This window comes from Homo sapiens, chromosome 7 (assembly GCF_000001405.40).
Source record: "Homo sapiens chromosome 7, GRCh38.p14 Primary Assembly".
Lineage (NCBI taxonomy): Eukaryota > Metazoa > Chordata > Mammalia > Primates > Hominidae > Homo > Homo sapiens.
In genome coordinates this window covers 135,976,171-136,002,318 of record NC_000007.14, presented here as the reverse complement: position 1 = coordinate 136,002,318, position 26,148 = coordinate 135,976,171, and the positions used below count along the sequence as shown (strand labels likewise).

At 39.8% G+C, this 26,148-nt stretch overlaps 1 protein-coding gene and 1 long non-coding RNA gene across 5 annotated transcripts in view; one reads left to right on the top strand and one right to left on the bottom strand.

Moving 5' to 3' along the window:
- LOC105375523 (uncharacterized) overlaps positions 1 to 21,372 on the bottom strand; it is a 459,019-nt gene extending 437,647 nt beyond the window's left edge. For all 4 annotated transcript variants that reach the window (NR_187954.1, NR_187953.1, NR_187955.1 and 1 more), the window contains exon 1: positions 21,261 to 21,372. This is a non-coding gene — a long non-coding RNA (uncharacterized LOC105375523). The remainder of the gene's footprint in view (positions 1 to 21,260) is intronic.
- A 3,587-nt stretch (positions 21,373 to 24,959) lies between these two features.
- MTPN (myotrophin) overlaps positions 24,960 to 26,148 on the top strand; it is a 50,600-nt gene continuing 49,411 nt past the window's right edge. Inside the window, exon 1 of the mRNA NM_145808.4 lies at positions 24,960 to 25,290. Coding sequence (NP_665807.1) covers positions 25,219 to 25,290 — 72 coding nt within the window. The 5' untranslated portion in view covers positions 24,960 to 25,218. The remainder of the gene's footprint in view (positions 25,291 to 26,148) is intronic.

Here is a 26,148-nt window from a genome sequence, read left to right as displayed (position 1 = left end):
CAATGTATCAAGTCTTGCCAGTCACACATCTAAAATAGATCATTTATCTGTCTATTTCTCTAACTCAATGGCCACTGCCCAGGTCAGCCTGGGCTACTGAAATAGTCTTCTAAATGATCAATATATTTTCCCAAAAAAGCAGTCGCTTGTTGAATATTACCTCCAACAATCTACTCAAATACCAGAAAAAGTGATCTGTTGAGAACATAAACATAAATAGCATAACGTTACTCCTGTGCTTAAAACCTCCAGTGACCTCCCATCGTACATGGAGTACAACTCAAGACCCTTAACCTGGACCCAAGAACCTACACCACCTGGCCCCTTAGCTTCCCATTCCTGCATCACTGCTATTCCTCTTCTCCTGTGTCACCTAAGTTCCAACCATACTGTCTTCAAATACACCCTGAGGGTTTTTGCCGTACATCTTCATGCATCTTGTTCCCTCTGCCAAGCACATCCCGTCTCCAGATCTTTGCAGGTCTGACTTTTTCTTTATTTTATTTATTTTTAATTTACAATGCAGCTGTGCTTGGAAAGTCTGGCTTTTTCTTATCGTTTAGGTCTTGCCTCAAATAATTCCCCTTCAGAGAAGCCTTCCCTACCTTCTCATTTTTTTTTCATCTTTTTTAAATTTTTTTGAGACAGAGTCTCACTCTGTCACCCAGGCTGGAGTGCACTGGTGAGATCTCAGCTCACTGCAACCTCCACCTCCCAGGTTCAAGTGATTCTCCTGCCTCAGCCTCCCAAGTAGCTGGGATTATAGGTGCCCATCACCACACCTAGATAATTTTTGTATTTTTAGTAGAGACAGCGTTTCACCATGTTGACCAGGCTGGTCTCAAACCCCTGATCTCAAGTGATCCACTCTCCTCAGCCTCTCAAAGTGTCTGGATTACAGGTGTGAGCCACTGCACCTGGCCCCTGGCTTCTCATTTTAGAGAAGCCACTCATTCCTCAAGTCATTCTCTGCAATAGCTCTGCATGGTAGAACTTCCTGTGATGATGGAAATGTTCTCAAGTGCTATTCCATGCAGTAGCCACCAGCCAGGCACATGTGGCTACTGAGTTCTTAAAACCAAGTAACTGTGGCTGAGAAACTGAATTTCTAATTTTATTTCATTTTAATTTAAATAGCCCTGTGTATGGGTAGGGCCTACCCCATTAGAGAGAATAGCTCTATAGCATCACCATGTTTTATTCTCCTCAAAGCTCTAATAACTACCTGAAGTTATCATGTTCATTTCTTTCAAAAGTTCCATGAGGTCAGGGACCTGGTCTATCTAGAAAAACTGCCACACACACAAAAAAGTACTACATACATTATGTATTTCTGCATAACAAATTACTATAAATGTAGCAGCTTAAAACACCACACAATTCTTATCTCACAGTTTCTGTGAGGTCGGGAGCCCTGGGCATGGCTTAGCTGGGCATGTGCTCTGCTTCAGTGTCTCTTACAGATCAGCAATCAAGGTATTGGCCAGGGCTGGGATCTCATCTGAAAGCTCAACTGGGAAAGGATCTGCTTCCAAGCTCACATGGTTGTTGGCTGAGGTCAGTTCTTCAAGGGCTATTGGAAGGAGATCCTCAGCACCCAGCTGGCTGTTGGCTGAAAGCTGCCACCAGTCCTTTGCCACCCCAACATAGCAGCTCATTTTGTGGCAGCTTGCTTTATCAATGTGTGCAAGCCAAGAAGGAAACAGCAAGAGAGGAGTTACAATCTTATGTAAACTATCATAGAAGTAATATCTCATCACCTTTGCTGCATTCTACTGGTTAGAAACAAGTCACTAGGCCAGCACACACTCAAGGAGAGAGGATGATGCAACAACATAAACACCAGAAGGCAAAGATCACTGGCGTCTGCCTACCCCAGGCAGCTATTACATATTTGCTGAGTGGATGAATGAGTGAAAGGATGAAGGCAAATATCACTGGCGTCTGCCTACCCCAGGCAGCTATTACATATTTGCTGAGTGGATGAATGAGTGAAAGGATGAAGACCCTACTCTACTCTGGCTGAGTTATGCCAGTGTAGCCCCTTTTTCCTCACTGTGAAAGATAAAGTCTTGTGTTAGAAATTATCAAAGAAGAAATAGAGATTCTTTCCCTAATGAAATCTGAAAAAAATATTAAAGCTATGGAAAAGGAAGTTTCTTAGCAAAGTAGACAGATTCTTACTTGATAACTGTTAAGAGCATGAACAAGCCTGGGCAACATAGCAAGACTTCATCTCTAAAAATAAAAAAAATAAAATATAGAAAAAAATAGCCAGGCATGATGGCTCATACCTGTAGTCCTATCTAGCTACTCAGGAGGCTGAGGTGGGAGGATCACTTGAGCCTAGGAGTTCAAGGCTACAGTGAGCTAGGATCACGCCACTGCAATCCAGTGTAGGCAACAGAGAGAGAGACCCCACCTCAAAAAAAAAAAAAAAGTATGGGCCCTGAAGTCAAAATGCTCAGATTCAAAGCCTAAGTCTGCATTTTTACCATTTGTGTACTTGAACTCCTTTGTGTCTCAGTTTGCTTATAGGATTATTGTCAGGATTTAATGAGTTAATAGGTGAACATTTTATAGAACAGCACCTGGCACAGAGTACATACTTAAGAAATGTTAGCTATTATTATTGTTATCACTACTATAATAACCGAATTTTTTTTTGGAAAACAAATTTTCCACTTCTAAGGCTGTTAATGTAATTCTTACAAGCTAATGATTGTATCACTCTGGGTTCTTAGTTGCAGGCAAGAAAAAATCAACTCCAGCTGAGTTAAGCAGAAAATGGAATCTATTAAAAACATAGTGGGTGACTCCCAGAATCACTGAAAGAACTGGAAAATGGACAGGGAGTTGTGCAGCTGATAACAACACCCAAAATCACAAGGTAGAACCCTCTGTCCCCTTGGTCTGCCAACGCCCCTAGTCCCAGATGCTGCACATGGCCAGCTACCCTAAGGAACTCAGTCCTCCTCCAGCTGCTGCTCCTACAGAATGTGATTCTTCCAGCGCGCACATCACTGGTAGGCTGTAAGAACACTGCTGGTTTCTCAGCCTGCTCCATCACATTGATGAAGGCTAGGTCTCAGAGATATGCCTGAAGAGCTGGTATTTGGCATTTTCTTCTTCTATGGTTACAGGCAAGTCTGCCTCCTTCCAAGACTCATTGGAAGGGTAATTTCCAAAACATAAGATGAGCATTCCCACGCTGGACAGCCAAAATAATTTTAAAAGCAAATGTCCACTAGAATAGCCATTAATGATTTCTCCTTGTTGAACATGATTTTTTAATCCACATATTAAAAATTCAATAAGTTCCTGCAGATAAGTTCTCTCAAGGCAAGGATTTATATCTCTCATTATATTCCTTTCTAGGTCTACATGGTAGTTTTGAAGCTGGGATAAAACAATGGTCAAGATACTAGTTGTTTGGTTTATTTATTTGGTGTCCTTATTTTTACAATGATGGATTCCTTCACCAGCAAATCATTAATTGCATATTATATTTCTCCATTAAGCCTTGTGCCCTTTCCACACTTGGAAGCTGTAATACTACAAGCCTCTTGCCCTTTAAAAATTAAGTTGTCTCTATTCACGACCTCCTTAGAAGAGGTTCAAAATCTTATTGCTTGTGGTATTTTTATTTTATTTTTCTAGGGGACAGTTATGAGAGTTTCTCTCAACAGAAACTTTGGAATGAGTGGTTCTGAGCTTTTGTGATTGGTACCAGTGAGACTGATATGAAGTAGAGGCTCTTCCATACATTAGAGAAGGAGCCTCTGACAGCAGAGTCAAGGCCAAATGGACTTCCAAAAAGATTACACCATTTTACATGCCTACCAACAGCCTCATTTGATGTAAAAGCAGGAGACTCAGAAAGTTTCTGCCTTGGATAATATTCTACTCCAGTGTCTCAAGAATTTGGAATTTTTCCCCAAAGTCTTTTTTCCTTAAGACCATAATGGCCTTTCTTATTTTCCCTAATGATATCCATCTGTAGAAAGTTGTCCAATAAGCATACATTTGGTAAGTTTATCTCATTGCTTTAAAAAATACTTTACAACACTGTGAGGGGGAAGAAAATTCCATGTGCAATCCATGTGCAGTAGGTAAAGTTGAAGCATACAGTCTTGGTTACTCAATTCAGTCTGATTCATCTTAATCAATGGTTCTCAACCAGGGTTGGTTTTGTACCTTGAGGGACATTTGGCAATGCCTGGAGACATTTCTGGCTGATGCAACTGGGGATGAGGAGGTACAATGTTACTGGCACTTAGTGGGTAGAAGCGAGGGACGGTGCTCAACACCCTGTAATGCACAGGACAGCTCCCCACAAAATATTATCTGACCCAAAATGTCAATACTTTGGAGTTTGAGCACTCTGATAGGAATACAATGACTTTCATAGGCATTTCCAGTTTTCCTTTCTCACTCCATAACTCTTCCTCCTCAACTTCTGGCCTAGTGACATATTTTCTGGCTGCCAGGTCATTAAAGCAAGATTCTTTCTGATCTCATCCTCAAACGTGGACTGTGGAAGATGAAGCCACACCCAGATCTCCTGTTCTGAAAATTCTGAAACATATTTATTCAATTATGTGCATTGAAACTGGGGACTTTAATGAACACAACTCCAGTGCTTACTAACCCATGTATGTCTTCCCCTGATTTTTCTAAACAGTATAGTCCTGAAGCCATCATGGACATCCAGCTCTTCCACCTACGGCTTATATGGCCTTGGAAAGTCACAGAATCTCTCTCTGTTTCATTTCCACAACTGCAAAATGACTTAAAACAAAACCAACTTCATAGGGTAAGTTTGATGTGCACGTGAAATCATGTAAAAGCATTTGACAATCTATAAAACAATAGGATGTTTGTTTTTACCATTATTCTTTTCCTTCCGAACTCCTTTCCACAATCTACTGTCCTGTGGTTAATAAGTATAGGCCTCCATGACAAGGCTGTCTCATGGCATGCATGCCAGTTAAGTATTCGCTTTAAGCTACAAAATCAGCATATCTGTAACATGCAATCTGTATTACACTTGCTCCTACCCAGAGAATGAATCTGCATAGTTACATATTTTGAGGGGTAGAGAAGGGGTCATACTACAATTGGACCCTCCCCAAATTTACTAGAAAACATACACATAGGCCGGGTGTGGTGGCTCACACCTGTAATCCCAGCACTTTGGGAGGCCAAGGTGGGCGGATCACAAGGTCAAGGGATCAAAACCATCCTGGCCAACATGCTGAAACCCCATCTCTACAAAAAGTACAAAAATTAGCTGGCATAGTGTCGTGTGCCTATAGTCTCAGCTACTCGGGAGGCTGAGGCAGAAAAATTGCTCAAACCCTGGAGGCAGAGGTTGCAGTGAGCCGAGATCCTGCCACAGCACTCCAGCCTGGTGACACAGTGAGACTCTGTCTCAAAAAAAACAGAAAAGAAAAGAAAATATACATATATGTGGTTCCAAATTTTTACTATACAGTGCCTAGGGATAGAAAATAAAATGAATCATCATAAAATATCACATTTTCTCATAAGAACAATCTTACGATTTGTTATTGAACAAAAATTTGACATAAAATAGATCAAAGAAAGAACAAATGTATAGGTATAATCTTTAAAACAGAAATATTATGCTCCAAGCCTTATTCAATCAAGAGAAATGTGTTGAACATATTGATACATGATTTTTTCATTAGTCTTAACATTTATAAGACTTTTATTTATGACTTAGATATTTTATGTTGTACAAAGACACAGCTCATGGAAGTTGGAATTGCCTTCTTTCTCCCTTAGTAAATTACCCTAAAGCTGGCAGAAATATTCATTCTCTTTCTACTGGAGGACCTTGCAACACGGAGATAATTATTCATAGAGTTCAGTGCTGGATCTGAACATTTGAAGTTTCCCAAAGTACTGTAATTCCTCATTCCTTTATCCTCCAGCATTGGAGGGGAAAATAAGCCACATAAGGAAAGCTATAAAGAAATAAGTGACATAAAGAACAATCACAATCCTTTGGCTTTGGGCACTGGAAAGTGTTTATCAGTTGACTATTGATGAAGCACAGAGCTTCTGAAGGAGCAGGTCATGGAGACATCTTCTCCCTACCTCATATTGCTCCAGTTACTGGCAATACGAGGTGAGGAAAAGATGCTACTGCCCAGAGTCAACAGCGTGAACTGCTTCAGAGACTGGAATGAACCTATTTGGAAGAAAGTAAATTATAGGTGTTAATTGCTCAGTTACATACATTAGTATCTATTTGTGTATATTTATGTATGTTTCCTAGTAACCCATCTTTCCATTTTACAGAATTTGATTCCTTTGCCCCATATGTATTCTTAAGTAAATACAAAGCAAGACATTTCAGAATTATTAGTCAGAAGTGTTACAAATGCAGACATTTCAATGTGTGTAACTTGAACTGAAAATCCATTTCCCTCCAGCTACAGGCATGTTTTTGGAAGTTATCCTTGATGCATCTGAATAGAGGTTATATTGTCTTCTTATTGTTACCGTAACCAGCACTGACATGTTATTGATGCCTGCTCATCAAGACAGGTTGTTGTTTAATAGTCCATCAAGACTTTGGCTCTTCCTTTAAGGTTTTATTTGTTCAACTCAATATGGCAGACTTTGCCATCTAAATTTCTGTCTCCTAAACCATCTGGTTTTACAATGAATCCAGGGTCCATTTCAGCAACTGCTGTCACCTGTGTCAGACTGACATTTGCCTTTTTCTATTATATATTTAGGAATGCAAAGCTAACATTTCAAAGACTATTCATCTCAACCAAAGATGTACCCTAAAATTCAGGTACTGCCAAAAGTGACTAGTGGTGCTGGGCACCAGAATCCACATAGCTGTGGTTAATAAAAGAAAAACCAGCACACTTTCCAGCTGGTTCTATTCTGTCTGTGACAATACATTTGCCTCTATAAACCAAGGCAATAAGAATAAAACAATAAGAAATGATCAATGTTCCAGGCAATAGATATCCTAAATACCTTGATTTCATCACATTAAATCACACTGCATACATGTATCAAAATTTCACATGTTCCATGTACAAATACGTATTAATTTACAAATAATTAAAAAATTTAAAACACCAAAAAAGTGAAATACAATTTACAAAAATGAAGAAATTCAAACATCTCGGTAATGTTCTTCTCATAATAAACTTTACAAAAAGTCAGGATCCCCCTTATCTTTAAACTAAACATCTCTGTTTCATCAAGTTCACTCACCATCTTCCTAAAATGATTCATCCTCTCTCAGCTAAGCCAGCCACACTCTGAGTCTGCTGCTGCCAGCAGGACCCAATCCTTGGTAGGTAGTTTCTGAAAGATCAGAGCTATAATTTCAAGGCCCCTCACGGTCTCCATCTTCCATAAATTAGTCCACTGAAGCACAGCCTACTCTTGTTTTAAAAATGAAGCTGGATCCTTTGAAGCAGAGTATCTAGGCAGCTCTAGCTCCACATTTGATCATTCCGGTTGTATGTCCAGCCCAACTGCTGTGGCCTCCCAGATTCGTAGCCACACACACACCCCACCTCATCCCACCCCCAACAAACGCACACACAACATAGCCTGTATGCTAAGATCTCTGACTCAACTCAGGTCTTAGACAATTACTGCTCGCTGACTCAGCATCTGCTGCCTAGAACTCAGTGCTGACACTGTACCTTACTTTTAGAGAGCTTAATCAGCCATGGTGAAGAAAAGGGCTCTCTGAGATCTCATCTTGAAATTGTTTAACTAACTATGGCCAGCTGTGGTGGCTCACACCTGTAATCCCAGCACTTTGGGAAGCCTAGACAGGAGGATCCCTTGAGCTCAGGAGTTCAAGACCAGCTTGGGCAACATATCAAGACCTCATCTCTACTAAAAATAATTTTTTTAAAAAAAGAAGCTGGGTGTGGTGGTGTGCACCTGTAGTCCCAGCTACTCGGGAGGCTTAGGCAGGAGGATGGCTTGGGCCAGGGATATTGAGGTTGCAGTGAGTCATGATCACAACACTACACTCCTACCTGGGTGACAGAGAGACGCCCTGTCTCAAAAAATAAAAATAAAAAAAGTAACTATACATGTCTTAGCTGTTCATGATACTGAGTCTATATTTAGATTATAAGCAAACAAAAAAAGGAAAACAGAAAACTGACTTTTATACTCATGTAGGCTTTCTGTGTGGGTTTTTTGTTTTGTTTTGTTTTGGTTTGGTTTGGCTTGGTTTTGGTTTTGGTTTTGGTTTTTTAGACAGAGTTTCACTCTGTTGCCCAAGCTGGAGAGCAGTTGCATGATCTCTGCCCACTGCAACCTTCACCTCCTGGCATCAAGCGATTCTCCTGCCTCAGTCTCCCGAACAGCTGGGACTACAAGCGTGTGCCACCACTCCTGGCTAATTTTGTATTTTTAGTAGAGACGGGATTTCACCCATGTTAGCCAGGCTGGTGTCGAACTCCTGACCTCGGGTGATCCGTTCTCATCGGCCTCCCAAAATACTGGGATTACAGGCGTGAGCCACCGTGCCTAGCTTCTGTGTGGTTTAATACCATTTTAGCACTGCAGTTGCTCTTGCCACATTTGAAAACTTTGTCAATAATATTTTATAGGTCATACTTTTTCCTCTCAAGAAAATCCCTGCCAAAAGTGCAGACATTTCAATGTGTGTAACTACCATCCATTCAACAGGTTCATATTACTATCAGGATTTGCCTTCACAGATTTGTACCAGCTGAATCCACCCACTCCCTGAATCAACCAAGCCTATACCTGCCTTGGTTTTTGCAACTGCTGTTTCTTCTGCCTCAAATGCTCTGGCTGCAGAGCATTGAGTAGGTTGGTCCTTCGCATCCAAGTCTCAGCTCCGAAGGCCCCAGAGAGGCCTTCTTTGACTGTCCTGTCTCGCAGATATTACTCCCTGACAGCATGTGCTATTACCATGCCCTTCTTTAGTTTCTTCATAGCACTAGATATTACCTGAATTATCTTATTGATGTATTATTCATAATCTGCCTCCTTTGTGACATATTTATGTCCATGAGAAGAGGGATCTTACCTGTCTTAATCACCATTTTCTTCTTAACTCCTAAAACAATGTTGGCACTGAATAGGTATTTATTGAATTACTTGTAAATTCTTCTTGTGTTGACTGTCTTGTAGGCCTACCTCATTACTCGTTCTTCGCACCCGACTTTTATAAAACTTTTTACTGCAATGACTTGAAACTCCTTCAATTGAATTGGACATAAATCCTGCTCTACATAAATATAAAATTAGCATTTTTTTCTCTCTTTTTTTTTTTAATTATACTTTAAGTTTTAGGGTACATGTGCACATTGTGCAGGTTAGTTACATATGTATACATGTGCCATGCTGGTGCGCTGCACCCACTAACTCGTCATCTAGCATTCATGTCCTTTGTAGGGACATGGATGAAATTGGAAATCATCATTCTCAGTAAACTATCGCAAGAACAAAAAACCAAACACCGCATATTCTCACTCATAGGTGGGAACTGAACAAAATTAGCATTTTTATATCGAAAATTAGAAAACTTAGAAAAACATCAGGAAGAAAGCAAATAACAAGCATAATCCCACAATTCAGGGAATGCCATGATTAATATTTGATTCCTTCTAGCACTTTCCTAAGTACACATCTACACAATACACTTATATAACCATTTTTGTTATGTTTTTCCTATCTCACATTAAGAGTTATACCATAGTTCATCAGTTCTGCTGAACGATTTCAGTGGCTATCTATGGGGAGATAAGTGGGGTTGTGCAAGGAAGAGATTGTGGACTGCAATAAACAATATTTTCACTTTTTACTCGGTGTACAATGATGTTTTCCTAAATTTTAAAAAAAAATAAGCATGCATTCATGCATTACTTTGGTAATATGAAAATAAAAGAACATGATCCCAGCTATAACTGTCATGGCCATCTTTTAAGATAATTCTCTTTTTTTGGTGTTTTGAAGCAGACCTCAAAATTCTTTGGGTTTGAGTAATATGTAGACCCTGTTTGTAGGTGTTGCCTTGGCCCATTGCCATGTAAAGATGAAGTGACTGAATATTCAGGCATGAATCTTGATTAACTCACATTCTTAATTATGCTGAGGGAATTCTCCCAGGATACCTACGATAAGCACTCCCATTCCAAAAGGGAAAGAATGAGACACAGCCAGCCATCATTAGTCTGTGGCACTCTCGGAATCCTGCCCAGCAGACATTGCAAGGGTCCTCTCAACCAGGGTGGGAATGTTCCTTGATTAGGCCTCAATCCTGACCCATGGTACCCCCCACCCCCACCCCACCACTAGCACATTGTTTCCTGTGGTCTTAGCTCTACCTTCTAGAGGGTTTTTCTTTGTTTGTCTGTCTGTTTTTGAGACGGAGTCTCGCTCTGTCATGCCCAGGCTAGAGTGCAGTGGGACAATCTCGGCTCACTGCAACCTCTGCCTCCTGGGTTCAAGTGATTCTCCTGCCTCAGTCTCCCAAGTAGCTGGGATTACAGGCACCCACCACCACGCCCAGCTAATTTTTTGTATTTTTAGTAGAGACTGGGTTTCACCATATTGGCCAGGCTGGTCTCGAATACCCGAACTCAGGTGATCCACCCACCTCAGCCTCCCAAAGTGTAGAGGGGTTCTTTTCCACTATGAAAAAAATAAAACGTGGGGCCTGATTTACTATGCCAAAAGAAAAAAAAACTTAAGCTGAAAGCTGAGTCATGCAAGAAGCTGCCTTTCCTGTTGTTCCTAAACCGATAGCTACAGACAAAAGGTTGAACATCTCCACAGGTAGCCACTCTATGTTCACCGTATCTTATATAAAGTGCTGATTTACTGACCACAAGACAAATACACAATTAACTATTGCCCTACCTGCTTCTTTTCTCTTGCAGCATGTGGACTATCACACACTCCCTCTTTCCCCTCCAGCCACTTTTCGCCTTTAAATACTGAAGCCCTCAAAGTCATCTTTGAAGAAAGGCACAGACCACAGACTTCCTGTGATTCCACGTTTATTTGTTCCAGGTATGTCCTTAATCTTGGCAAACTAAACTTCTAAATTGATTGAGACCTGTCTCAGATACATTTTGGTTTACAAATTGGTGACCAACACGGGGAACTCTGAATGGAGGTGGCCCTGACCTTTAACAAATCTATCAATGCTTGGTACCAGCTTGAACTATCTTTATTGCTCAAACCAATGGGACAATTTGCTGAGGTGCAGAGATTTCCTCTCCAGAGAATCCCTGATCTCCCCAAATTTGGTTGAGACCTAAGGTTTATCTTGCTGTACAACTCCTTTTCTGGAGTTTCGCTCACGTCCAACAAGGAAAGTGAGTTTTTCTGTTTCCATGTTGATGGAGTGCAGGCAACTCCTTTCTGGATTTTCAGCTTGCTTCCAAGAGGAAAGGCAAGTTTGAGGTTTTTTTCTGCTTCTAAGATGGTAGAAAGCAGCCTTGAGCCTGGGCCGCACTCCTAGTAAGCAGCTGAATTGGGATTTTGTCTTGAAAATTCTCCTTAATGACTAAAAGTTAAGATTGGCAACCAGCTGATCTTAATTCCTCTTTACCATTAGAGCACTCAGTAATTATATTCTTTGGTTTGTTATTGTTGCTCCAGTCTTTCTCCCATCAGATTTGACCACCTTTACCTGACTTGGTCAAATCTAAATGAGAATTACAAATTATGGGAAGGAGTCCTCTGAATTAGCTAAAATTCCTCACAGCTGAAAAAAAAAAAAAAAACTTTATTTCTCTGTTTGCTTCCTTTCTTAAAAAATTGTTCTTTTGTTTACTTTTCTTCAACCCTATTCCTTCTTCCTCTTTTGTCATCTTCGGTATGAAGTGGAAAAAAAAATCTAGATAAGGCTCCTAATGACTTGGACCTCTTAAAGAACTCAGAATAAATGTGCCACTCACCCTTTTCTGAGGTGTTCTGCTTTCTTTGTGGAGTTTCAAGAGTCATGGACAGATTATTCTCAGGTCTAAGGTTTTGCTTTCTTGTATGGCATTACTTGACCTCTTTGGCTTTTTGGGGATACCAGAGATTACCCTGTACTGTAAGAGGATTTGACCTTGGTGTGTGTAACAGTGGACAAGAGCTACAATGTTGGGAGTAGCTGAGGATTTTACAGAAAATGACCATTACTACAGCTGACTACTTGTTTTTTTGAACATTCTTGAATATAAGAAAGTTGTACATGCTTTCTTGGCCCTATTCCTTAAAAGGCTCCACCCTAAAGCCAGTAATCTAATGAAGCTACAGTTAAAATATCATCTATCAAACTAAGTTATTTTAATAAAGGAAATTTACATAATTAAAGGAAATCTTTTTTTTTTTTTTTTGAGACAGAGTCCAGCTCAGTTACCCAGGCTGGAGTGCAGTGGCAAATCTCCACTCACTGCAACCTCCACCTCCTGGGCTCAAGTGATCCTCCTGCCTCAGCCTCCCAAGTAGCTGGGACTGCAGGGATGAGCCACCACACCCAGCTAATTTTTGTATTTTTGTAGAGACGGGGTTTTGCCATGTTGCCCAGGCTGCTCTAGAACTCCTGAGCTCAAGTGATCCACCCACATCACCCTCCCAAAGTGCTGGGATTACAGGCATGAGGCACTGCACCCGGCCAAAATCTCTTTTTTAAGAACATCTATGTCTCTGCACCTAAACCACTAGGAATTTTAACTAAGGAGAAAACAATGGCTTAAAGTTTATATAACAGACCTTGCCTTTGTTTAGATCTAAGAATGTGCTTTTGAGATGTACATTGTCTACCTTGTTTTACCTAAAGTTAGGTCTTTGGAGATCCAAATTTCGTTAACAATTGTGTAGGATACAGAAGAGGTAATCAATAAATTAATAGTCTAAAGTAGGGAAGGGAAAATTTTTGAAAACAGGCAAATGAAAAACTTTAAATCCATAAGATCTGTCTGTCTGAGTCTGATATGCCTATATGTTCATGTATAGCATGTGAAAATAATATTTCACTACCAATTATATAAAAGAGCTCTAATTAATTGGCCTAAAGAAAAGTAAGCATTTATCAGACTAATAGAAACTAATTCAGAGGCTTTTCAGTTCACATGACTTTAGTAATCTTTGGTAAGATTAATTTGGTAAATATAGTCTCAAAATTCTCTCCAATAATTTAAAATCTTAAAGTCAGGTCATGTTAAATTAAGTAATCCTAGGTTTTTTACTGGGAGTAGGGTTACCAAGAGTTAGAATAGACCAGACATGGTGGCTCACACCTGTAATCCCAGCACTTTGGGAGACTGAGGCAGGCAGATCACGAGGTCAGGAGATTGAGACCAACCTGGCCAACATGGTGAAAGCCCATCTCTACTAAAATACCAAAAAAAAATAGCCAGGCGTGGTGGCACACACCTGTAGTCCCAGCTACTCAGGAGGCTGAGGCAGGGGAATTGCTTGAACCTAGGAGGTGGAGGTTGCAGTGAGCTGAGATCATGCCACTGCACTCCAGCCTGACAACAGAGTGAGACTCCGTCTCAAAAAAAAAAAAAAAAAAAGAGTTAGAATAGCAGGAGAGTAGGATGTTTTGGTGAAGTTTACAAAAAACATGAATATGTGGTTTTTGCTTGAGAAAATGTAATTTTTTCTAGTTTAGAGGACTTTTCTGTAACGAAAACACAACTTCAGTTGTTCACTGCTTACAGAGTCCAATTAACAAGAGCAAGGTCTGGTATAAAGAAAGTGACTTTTTATTCCAAAGCCAGCTTAGGGGAATAAGCTTCCTGCCTTAAGGGTACCACTTTGCTTTTGGAGGCAGAACGCAGACACTTTTTAAAGGGGGCTTGACATGAATGGCACACAGGGAAGAAAGTGAGCAGGTGGGGGTCCACATAACTCTCTTCAGTGCCTTATCTGCTGGGTGGTTGAGCTGACAACTGCTGGCACCTTCCTGGACAGAACTAGGTTGTAAAGGTGCCCAAAACTCTCCAAGTGAGAGACATTTTCATAGCAGGTATACTTTGGGTTGTAGATTGACCGTTGTCTCTCCAGGCAACCTCCTCATGGGTGAGAGTTCCACCCTGAAGCTTCTAAGCACATAATTAGATGAACTTTCCCTGTAGGGAGTGTCTGGTGAAAGGAAGGTAAAAGGTTATAATTGCATTTCTAAAGGGCTAAGCAGAAAGTAGAGGGTGGGGAAAATGGAGAAAAGATAAAAGAAGAGAAAAAAATAAAACACGATAATAATTCATTCTCTTTTTCTTAGAAAAATGGAGGTCTTTGATTGCATTGCTACTGGTGTGGAGATAAAAACCACTGTTCACATCCAACCATTTTTTTTTTTGTAAACTGGTGAGTTTGTATTGATATTTCACGGTTAGAATTCCAAAGTAAAGGCTATAGGATCCTTATTTGTATGGGTGTGCATGTGTGCTTAGGTGTGTTTACATGTACATGCATGTGTTTTGTTATGTGTTGTGGCCATAAGGTACCAAACTGGTTTAAAAATAAAGGAGTATTCATTAAGTAAATAAGCCCAAAGGATTCTCAAGTTTATATAACTTAAGTAAATCTTTAATAAATAGGCAGGCTTTAAAATTATTAGTAAAATAATATTAGAAATGTCTTCAGAATTGTCTACATACATTATTGCAAGCTTGTCCAACCCACAGCCCCTGGGCTGCATGTGGCCCATAATGGCTTTGAATATGGCCCAACACAAGTTCATAAACTTTCTTAAAACATTATGAGATCATCTCATGTGATTTTTTTTTTTTTAGCTCATCAGCTATCACTAGAGTTAGTGCATTTTATGTGTGGCCCAAGATAATTTTTCTTCTTCCAATGTGACTCAGGAAAGCCAAAAGATTGGACACTCTTGCATTATTATTTAGATTTTTTGGTCAAGTGGTTGTGTATTTATCTCTGCTAAATATTATAAGGTGTCAAGATTTTGCATGATGCTTATAAAGTTATAAATGCAGCTGAAAAGGAAATTATCTTTGTGCAATTTTTTGATAAATAAGGCATTTAATATTGTTGGATTAATGAAAACAGCTAAATCCTGAGTTGTTTGCAAAACACACACACATACACACATTTATTTAACTTTAAGGTTCTTACTTAGGTATAAACACCTGAAATTCACAGGTTATAAAAATGTTTAACAGGGAAATAACTTCAAATGATGACTATCACAATTTTCATAAGTAATCTACGTAAACTACTAAAAAATTAATTAGGCAAATGTAATGGAATAAATGCTTGTAAATAAACTTGTAATATACCTTAGAATCTGAAATTAGATAATAAATATGTATTAAATGTCTGGGTCAGTTCTGATTTTTTAAAAAATTACATTATAGGAAACCATTTTTCTAAAAGAAGTGTTCTTATTGGCTGAGCACTGTGGCTCACACCTATAATCCCAACACTTTGGGAGGCCAAGGTGGGCAGATCACAAGGTCAGGGGTTCGAGACTAGCCTGGCCAACATGGTGAAACCCCATCTCTACTAAAAATGCAAAAAACAATTAGCTGGGCATGGTGGCAGGCACCTATAATTCCAGCTACTTGGGAGGCTGAGGCAGGAGAATTGCTTGAACCCAGGAGGTGGAGGTTGCAGTGAGCCGAGATCATGCCACTACACTCTAGCCTGGGTCACAGAGCAAGACTCCATCTCAGAAACAAAAAAAAAAAAAAGAGGTGTTCTTATTAAAAAAATAATTTTTGTCTAAGTCAAACATTATTTAAAGGTTATTTATAAAACAAGGTAAACAGAACCAGTAAATAAGAGAAATGTAAAGAAAATTATGAATATAAAGGGGGTTTTTTAGTAAGAAAACTTAAAAGGAAAAAAATTCTATATGAGAAAGAATCTTGTGTGATGAATTTTTTGTCCCAAAATAAAATGACTGGTTATTAAAGAAAGTGGGATGAAACCGGAAGTCCAACCATGTTATAAATGGTTTGTGTAAGTCATAATAAGGTTTGTATAAAGAAATTATGAAAAAAAACTTTATGTGATCAAGTTGGCTATAATTAAAAAAGGAAATTATTTATACTAGTCTTTCTAGAGATTGGCCTTTAATATTAAAAATATATATTAATAAACTGAAGAATTGTTTAGAAAAACAAAATTTTCTTAAAGTATTAATTTATTCTTATAAAATTATAAGAAATTTTAACATTTTTAACCCAAAAGCTCAACTTTTATTGTGTCTCACTGTTTTTGGCTTTCTCTCCCCTTTGAGAAGGCCTGAGACAATAACTCTCTCCTTCAACTTTTTCATGAGCTCTTATAATTTTTTTCCTCAGGTTCTAACTGTAGTTGTGGCCTGATGCTAAAAATGTTTTATCCCAAAGATCTAATGAAAATGTTTTCTTCCAACATAACATTCTGTGCTCTTAGCTTTAAACTCTTCTATTAAATAAAAAACTTTCCCTTATGACCTAGGCCACACTCTTCCTAATTATTCAAGTCCTAGAAAACTGAGATTTTAAAAACTTAAGGTTATTACATCCATGTAATTTTCTGTATTCTTTTTAAACTCTTTGTGCTGTTAAGTTACAGGGCTTTGACTCCTGGATCTAAAACGGACACCAAGTCTTGCTAATTCTTGCAAGCACTGACATTAGCTAAAGCCTTATCTTCAGACCTGAGAGAATATGACAATCAAAGTAAACTGCATTCATGAGACACAGAGTCAGAAGTTAAAACTATTCAACCCCTCTAGGCCCAGGAACTAGTGTGAAATCTCACACTGAGTGTGTGAGATTATAGGGCTGATTCTGGGAGAGAAAATTAGTTCAAAGTTTCTCTGTAAATTAAAAATTAATATCAATGGCACACGATGCAAGATGAGCATCTGAGCCCCTGTGTCAGATTAACAAGGTTTTCTTGGAGCATTAACCCACTCTCTAATTAAAAAAAAAAAAGTTATTACAAGGTTTATAGAAATTATATCTTATGGTCAAGATGATTAAAATGTAATGGATTAGCCTGGTGGGGTGGCACACACCTGTAGTTCCAGCTATTCAGGACTAAGCTACTCGGGAGGCTAAGGCAGGAGGATCACTTGAGCCTGGGAAGTGGAGGTTGCAGTGAGCTGAGATCATGCCACTGCATTCCAGCCTGGACAACAGAGAAAGACCTTGTCTCACAAAAAAAACAAAAACAAACAAACAAAAAAAACACCAAAAAATAAAATTTAATAGATTTGTTTATGAAATTTGAGAGACAGATTTAATCACCTTATGCTGTCTTTATTAGGGCTTATTGTTTGGGAAAGTAAGTTTCCTTTCTCAAAGAATAAAAGTTTTTGCTTTTTTTTTTGGAAATCTTTGAGTTATCACTTTGCCTAAATAAATGACTTATTTTACAAGACTTGTGACTCTATTTTGTGATACCAAGAGTTTTAAACTTTTAATATCGGACAGACTTTCCAAAATCAAATGATAAATTCAATCCTTTTGGCTTCATTAATGTTTTGATATTAGGTCCCCTGAAGTCCCAAGGAGACATATTCAGCTTATTTGGTATAATAAAATCATACAGGAGGCATTGTCAAATATAAAATGGTGTTTAAACTTCTTTGGATAATATTTATTTATTTATTGACTTATTTATGAAATACAGTCTCACTCACTCTGTCACCCAGGCTTGAGTGCAGTGGCACGATCTCAGCTCACTGCAACCTCTGCCTCCTGGGTTCCAGCAATTCTCCTGCCTCAGCCTCCTGAGTAGCTGGGACTACAGGTGTCCGCCACCATGCCTGGCTAATTTTTGCATTTATAGCAGAGAGGGGTTTCACCATGTTGGCCAGGCTGGTCTCAAACTCCTGACCTCAAGTGATCCACCTGCCTTGGCCTCCCAAAGTGTTGGGATCACAGGCGTGAGCCACTGCACCTGGCTTGATTATATTTATATAAATGTGTCATTAGCATGTGTTCCAAAATTGTATGAGATTCCTGAGATTCTGATATGTCTTAGTATATATTATCAGTAATAATTATAATTGCTATGTAAAACTGTTGTATGCCACAGAAGTAACCAAATTTCCTTGTCATTTGTATCTTTACCCATGGCTGTTCTAAGACTTTTGTCATCCATGATTGTTTTACTTCATCCTTTTATAGGGTGGTTTATAATCAGCTATAGAACTCTGAGGAGTACTCTTAAATATAGGTTTCTAATATCTTTAGAAAATATGCCATTGGAATAAAGAGAAAGAAAACTCCCAGAACTCTCATGGAGAGCTGATGTATTCAGGAGGATTGCTGATCCAATATCGAGCAGAACAGGAATTAATTGCATGGACTGAACTAACAGAAGATTGAAATCCTCTTTTATGGCTTTTTGTCTAAAACACTTGCTGATTCTTCCTGTTTTGTTTTCTAGAGTCAAGAAAGTTTTCTCTTCTTTAAGCTGTTTACAGCTTTTAACAATTGAGTAAAGTATACTCTAATAAGAAAAATTTAAAACAACTCCATTGCAATTGCTTCAGAATTTGGAAACTATTTGGTGAATATCCTTAGTTTATGACAATGTAGTTCTTTGCATAAATTCAATAAGAATCTATTTTCTTTTATAACAGGACATAATTGGAGACACTGGTGATTTCATCAAGACTTTGATTGTAATGACATTTTCAGATGGCCTTGAGAAAATGAGGCTGACCTATAAAGCCAATAAAAGCGCCTTGGAAAACCTGGGATCATACATTTTTATTTGCAGCGTACTGACTTGGGATAAGTAAAGAATGTCACTTTCTGACAGGCCCAGGAAACTCAGGTTTTCTTGGGACCTTGAAAAAAGAGTAATTCACCCAATTCACACAGGTATCTGCAGGCACAGTAAATTCTTAGCTGGGCTCAAGGCTTTTAAAAAGTTCAAATCTTAGATTCCTTATGAAAAGCTTCCAGCAAAGCCAATTTTATAAAGAGAAAGAGAGAGCCTGCATGGCAAATGATTATTCTTGCTGAACTTTATGCAAATAATCAAGCCAAGTAAATAGAACTAAAACTTATTTGAAACATAAATTGGTCCTACTATGATTTTGTCTTTAATAAAATTTGAAAATTGGAGACAGAAAAATTACATTTCAAACTATAGTACACCTGTTATTAGATTCTAGTCTTGCCTAATGTTTCTGATTTTTATTATTTTCCACAATTTAGACTGAATTCTAAAATTTTTCCTGACTATAAGTCTCCAAAATAATGTTTACAATTTTTTTCCCTTTTTCCTTTTTTGTCCATTTTTCCTGACTTGAAATCACTAGGAATGAAGCTGTGCTCTTCTTAAAGCCGTGCAAACTGAAGCTAGACAACTTAAACTTTGCAAGAAAATAACAGCAACCTATTTATATACATAAACCACTTTTATACCTGCCTACTGATGTATGGACTTCAGAGTAATATGGCCTATATCAGTTTTCCAAGACTGTTTTCACTTTTTGTTTGTTTGTTGTTTTCTTTCTCTCTTCCTCTCCCATTTTTTTTTCTTTGTGGGATGCGAGACCTTACAACCTGCTAAAAATGAGCTTTCCTAACAATGTGGGACCTGTCTTTCTAGGAATAAACTATCCTAGGCATGAGAGATCAGACAAAACCAGAGACTCATTTTCTTCTAAAATGCTTTCTCCGAAAGATTTTAAAAAGAAAAGGGCAGCGAAATGTGAAAGGAAAATAAAAACAACTCGAGTTCACAATGCTAAAAGAAAAAAAAAATTAAGCTGAAAGCTGAGTCATGCAAGAAGCTGACTTTCCTTTCTGTTCCTAAGCAGATAGCAACAGATAAAAGGTTAAACATCTCCACAGGTAGCTTCTTTATGTTCACCTTATGTAAAGTATGCTGGTTTACTGAGTATGAGACAAATACACAATTGACTATTTCTCTACCTGCTCCTTTTCTCTAGCAACATGTGGATTATCATACCCTCCCTTTCTCTCCTCCAGCCCACTTCTCCCCTTTAAATACTGAAACTCTCAAAATCATCTTTGAAGAAAGGCACAGATCACAGACTGTTTCTGCGATTCCATGTTCATTTGTTCCAGGTATGTCCTTAATCTTGGAAAAATAAACTCCTAAATTGATTGAGGACCTGTCTCAGATACTTTTGGGTTTGCACCACATTATCCCTGTCCTTATCTATTTCTTTTTTTTTTTTTGAAGACAGAGTCTTGCACTGTCACCTGGGCTGGAGTGCAGCAGCGTGATCTCGGCTCACTGCAACTTCCGCCTCCCAAGTTCAAGCGATTCTCTTGCCTCAGCCTCCAGAGTAGCTGAGATTTTACAGGCACCTGCCACCATGCCCGGCTAATTTTTTGTATTTTTAGTAGAGATGGGGTTTCACTATGTTGGCCAGGCTGGTCTCAAACTCCTGACCTCGTGATTCACCCGCCTCGACCTCCCAAAGTGCTGGGATTACAGGCATGAGCCACTATACCCGGCCTCCTTGTCCTTAAGTGAGCACTGGAAAATGTGATCTCCTTAAAGTCTGAGCAGCGTTCTCAGACAACTCTGTCCACAGAAGGTTGAAGCCCCACTCCCACTTGGAGTCTATTTACAGTTTCCTTTAGTCTTGACTGATAGCTATTTTGGCATGTCTCTCAAAAATTTAGCCAGCTTCTTCCATATTTGATTCAAGCTAGCTCCACATACCATGATTGTGTGTGTCTCCACTGCACTAAGTCACAACTTTCTCTTTTAATTCTTTCTTGTAGGTACCTTGAATCTATCCAGCTCTGTCATGGGAAGACCTGTGCCATGTTGTTCAACTGAAAAGATTCATGGGGTACCACTTTAATCTATTCGGAGGTTTTAGTCATGGGTGTGACTATCACACCCGTAATTTGATCCTTGCCAAGAGGTTGAGTTCTAATCAACCTTTGTTGCTCATCTCAGTTTTGTTTTTAATGAATAATAATGAGAATCACTTGCATCTTCTAAACGTGCATGTCTCCAAGTTTATAGCTTCCTATAATCACTTTCTTTCCTAACTGCAAGCTGGACAATTATTTTCTAAACTCATCATTTCCTGTAGTATTGAGACAGGAGAATAGGGTCTGGAGGCACGGAGATTAATTAAATCTTTTTTAATCATCTAAGGCTGATTCACACTGACTTCCTAAAACTAAATCAAAAGGAAAACCCCAACTTCCCATGCCTAAGTAACAAATGGACTCAAGGCTACTCCCTTTGCAACCCCCATCTTTTCTGAGTGTCAGATAAAAAATTGTAAGTACCTCTGACTGGTCCCCTCCTGCAGTCAATCAGGCTGGTCACAGGCCAAGTCTTCCTTTGCATAGGAGTATAACTTTGTAACTTCACTTCAGCCTCTGATTCATCACTTTCTGCAACCAATTAGTCGTTTGCATAGGGTGTAACTGTAACTTTGCTTCAGTCTCTGATTGTTCCCCTCCTGCAACCAATCAGACTGATTGCGGGCCACTACTTCATTTACATAGGGTGTACACCAAGTAACCAACAGGAAACCTCTAGAGTGTATTTAAACCCCAGAAAATTCTGTAACCAGGTCCTTGAGCCACTTTCTCCAGCCTGTTCCCACGCTACAGAGTGTGCTTTCATTTTCAATAAATCTCTGCTTTTGTTGCTTCATTCTTTCCTTGCTTTGTGCATTTTGTCCAATTCTTTGTTCACAGTGCCAAGAACCTGGACACCCTCCACCAGTAACAGTATTTTATATAGTCAATAGTTACTGATACATGCCACCAGCTTTCCATTTTCTGGCCTTTTCCTCTAGAACTACTAGACCTTCCCCATATTATTACAGTTTTGCCAAAGGTTTCACTCCTGTGAGTATGAATCACCATCTTTACGGCTTCTCCTATCACTTCCTTTGTTGTATACTCCCCAGCCACTGAGCCAATGCCATTTATTTAAAGGTTTTGTTCTAGTAACATTCCCATTCTGACACTAATTTCTGTGTTAGTCAAGATTGGTTCAGTGTTCCTCTAGTAATAAACACCACAATTTCAATGGCTGAAAACAATACAAGTTAAATTCATATTCATCCTATATATCCATTATAGGACAGTGAGGGAGCTCTGCTCATTGTAGTTACACAGGAACCCAGACTGACTGTGTAGCCACTATCTTGCATGTTGCTAGTTGCTGTAGTAGAAGGAAAGAGTTCTGAAGGGTCTTACAATGACAAGCCTGGAAGTGACTCATTTCACGTCTGCTCATAACTAATAGGCCAAAATTAGTTACATGATATTATTCAACTACAAGCCAGGAAGAGCAGTTCTCTCTTGTGCCCAGAATGGCAGACAAAGGAATTATTTGTTTAACACCATGAATACTTACCAAAATAGGTAAACAAAAAAGATAATTAAAATACTTGTGACATGTGCTGTAAATGGGGGAAAAGCTGGGCCCTGTAAGTAATTGAAGGACCTATTTAAAGTGGGTGGTCTGGGAGGTCTCTCTGAAGGTTTGCATTGAAACCTCAAAAGTCAGATGGAGTGAACAAGACTTAGATGAAGAACATTCCAGAGAAGAAACAAGAAGCATAAAGGCCTTAGGGTGGAATGAGCTTGGTTTAGCTTGAAACTGACAGAAGACAAGATATTTCAAAATCAAAGAAACAATGGGGGTGGCAAGGGACTGTCATGAGATAGGAGATACTATCACCTACCATCAGCAGTCAGTGCACAGAAGGCCCTGAAGGCCATATCAAGTAGTTAGGATTTTAACCTACCTGCAATAGGAAGCCTTTGAAAGGCCTTAGGACAACAAGTGCATGTTTAAGTTTTAAAAGAGTAACTCCCAAAGTGGGGAATTATCTAGAAAAGGATGAGTGAAAATAGGACACCAACAGGGAGGCTATCATAGCACATAGCATCATAGCAGTGTAGACAGAGATGACAGTGACAGGGATGGGGGATATGTGAGGGTGCAGGGAGTAGTAATAGTGAAGATGGCAAGAAATGAACAAATTTAAGACATATTTTGAAATATTTACTGATGGATTGAATAAGAGAAAAGTTGAGAATGGGAAGAGTGATTATGACTCCCATGTTTCTGGTTTTAGTGATAGGGTGGTTGGCAGCGCCATTTACAGAGATATGTGGGGGACAACTAGGTTTAACATCTACAGGAGACCAGATCCTATTCTGGACATGTTAAGTTTGAGAAATCCAAATGAGTAAGAAGTTAAATATAAGAATAGATCACATAGGAAAAGTCTAGTTAAAGATTTTTTTTTTAGATGATCTTGCTCTGTCACCCAGGCTGGAATGCAGTGGTGCCATCATAGCTTACTGTGGCCTCAAACTCCAGGGCTCAAGTAATCCTCCTGCCTCAGCTTCCCAAGTAGCTGGGAAGGCAGAAGTCCGCCACTGTACCCAACTAATTTTTTTAATCTTTGTGTTTTGTAGAGATGGTGTCTCATTTTGTTGCCCTGGCTGGTCTCCAACTCCTGGCTTCAAGCGATCTTCCAGCCTTGTCCTCCCAAGGTGCTAGGATTACAGGCATGAGCCACTGCACCCGGCCAAAGATATAAATCAAGAGCTCTCAGCATGATGTAACTCAGAAATCACACAGGTGGGAGTGTGTTGGAGAAGAGATGGAGATTCTAGGACTTGCCTAACAAATTCCCCCTTGAGATTTGTTTCCAGAAATCGTATCACTATTGGGTATGTGGATTTGTATTTCTAATTATCAGGGAGTAAAATTAACAAATGACAATCTAGGTAGATGTTAATATTTGGAGGGATTTCTTCTGATTTGAAACCCATTTGCTATTCTACTCTAAATGATAGCAAAAAAAAAAAAAATACATTTCCAAACACTATTGACATCCCCATTTTACACAAGTGGAAAACTGAAGCAGAAGGGGGTTCAGTAACTTGCCCAAGAAGACACAAAATTAGCAAGAAGTGGGACCTGTATCGCAAACTAAACAATTTGGCTCCAGAGTCTGTTTGGAACCCCTACACTGTACGGCAATGGTGGTAAAGTAGCTTAGTTAATGTGTTTAGTGGGTTACAAATAATAGATTATATATATGAGTTTTATATATAGTAATAGTTATATATGTATATATATTATACGTATATTTCTAGCTCCAATAAGAGCTTTTATTGGATCTATGTTCATGTGCGCATGCCTGGATCATTAGGGTTGTGAGGAACAATTCAAGTGGTAGCTATGCACTATGGCATTACAACTAAACCCTAGGAAGAACAGAACTGACTTCACCAGAACAGTCCTGAAGTTTCAAACCATTAAAAACAAACAGTAAATTTAAAAAACGCAAATTGTACTAGACAGTTTGGTTTGCTCCACTTTACGGCATCAAACTGAATGCCTGGACGTCATTTGCTGGTCAGGAAGATGAGTTAATTTTTTTTTTCCTGCCACACACTTAAGTTTTTTGCTCCAGGGAACATTATACATAGTGTTAACACACTCAATTTACATTGTAGTTTTAGTGTTGAAGATTTCCTGGAGGGCAGGAATAGCGTTATTCCATCGTTTTTAGCCCAGTCAGACTGGATGACGGAGAGAGGGAGGGGTGAAAAGGAGGGAGGGAAGGGGAAAAGGCAAGGAAGAAGGAATTCAAATTAAACACTCTTCCTATACATTTTTAGAAGCTGAGCAAGATGCCCTCCAAGATTATGTTTTTTAAAAAGTAAAGTTTTTCCCATTAATGGTGGTGCAGAAGCGTCCTAATCCCATCGAAAGTACTCTCACTCTTCCTCCATTCGCTGTCTTGACCTCCCCCGGGCCTCCTTCATTCTGCCTCCCAGTCCCGCCCACTTGTCGCCGGCTCCTACCCTCCACTCTAGCCTTCCCGGCAGCCTGTACATTGCGCATGCGCACTAGTGGCGTTCGCGCCGCGGACCCAGAGAGAGGCGTTCCGCGGAGGAGAAGAGGAAGAGGAAGTTGGGGGAGGGTCCTAGCGGGGAGTGAACCGGAAGTGTAAAGGTTCCTGCCTCTCCTCGGCCAGGCGGAACCTCTCTGCTGGGCCCGGTGGCCGCAAAAGAACTTTCTTTCTCCCGCCCGAACGGTCGCCGCGGCCAACTGCCTCGCCCGCCTGGCAGCCTAACCCTCCTTCTCTTCTTCTCCTCTCCGGCTTCGCGCGGCCCTGCCTCCCTCTCGCCCGGCGGCATCCGCTTGCTGCTGCCACCGCCTCCTCATCTTCTGCCCGGCCAACCGGCCTGCCCCGCTGCAGTGATGTGCGACAAGGAGTTCATGTGGGCCCTGAAAAACGGAGACTTGGATGAGGTGAAAGACTATGTGGCCAAGGTAAGCGGGGATGAGAAGAGTAGGCGAGAACACGGAGGTGGGCTGGAGATGAGGCTGAGGAAGCTGATGGGAGCTGGACTGCGGGGATGGGGGTGGGCGGGAGGAGAGACTTCCTGGGTGGAGGCGGCACCAAGGAGAGAGGGGCGTCTAGGGAGGAGCTAAACTGAAAGAAGGGTCCAGGTAACTTGGTAGCGTTCTGTGTCAGGTAACTGCTGCGTTAATACAGTTAGGCGCTACCTGACTTCCTGGCCTCTTGGGGGAGGGGAGGAGTGGTGTCTGGCTCATCCAGAGTTTCTTCTGCGCACTGATCATTTGAGTTTGGCCCTCTTCTACACCAAAGTTACTTAAACCTTTCTTTGAATGAGGTAATTCTCCATCTTGGACTTACCCATTACTAAATGAAGTAACCTAAGTAATTAGGATCAGAGGAACATGTTTTTTAACTCTCGGCCTGGTGTGAAGTTGAAGAATTCATTGACCGTGAAAAGAGTACCGAAAATAGAAATAGTTAAAATTCTGAAACTGAGTATCACTTCACTGTGGTGTCTTAACTTTGGGTGTGGCCTTTTTCCTTTCCCCCACCACAACAAATACATATTTGCTTCAAGTGGTAAGGTTGTCAACTGGCATCTGGGAATGTTTAAGGTATCTGAATAGTTTTTAAACAAGCATGTTAACTTCAGTTATTCCATTCTTCTCCCTGATTTCACCTGAAATGCTTACATGTGTAGTAAATAGCAATGCAGTTTAGTGGCAGTGTATTTGGGGGGTAAAATCATGATGAAGAAAGACAAACTCAAACCTCAGCCCCAAATATAAAACTGAATCGACATTGTGGCAGAGTGGGAAACTTAAAAT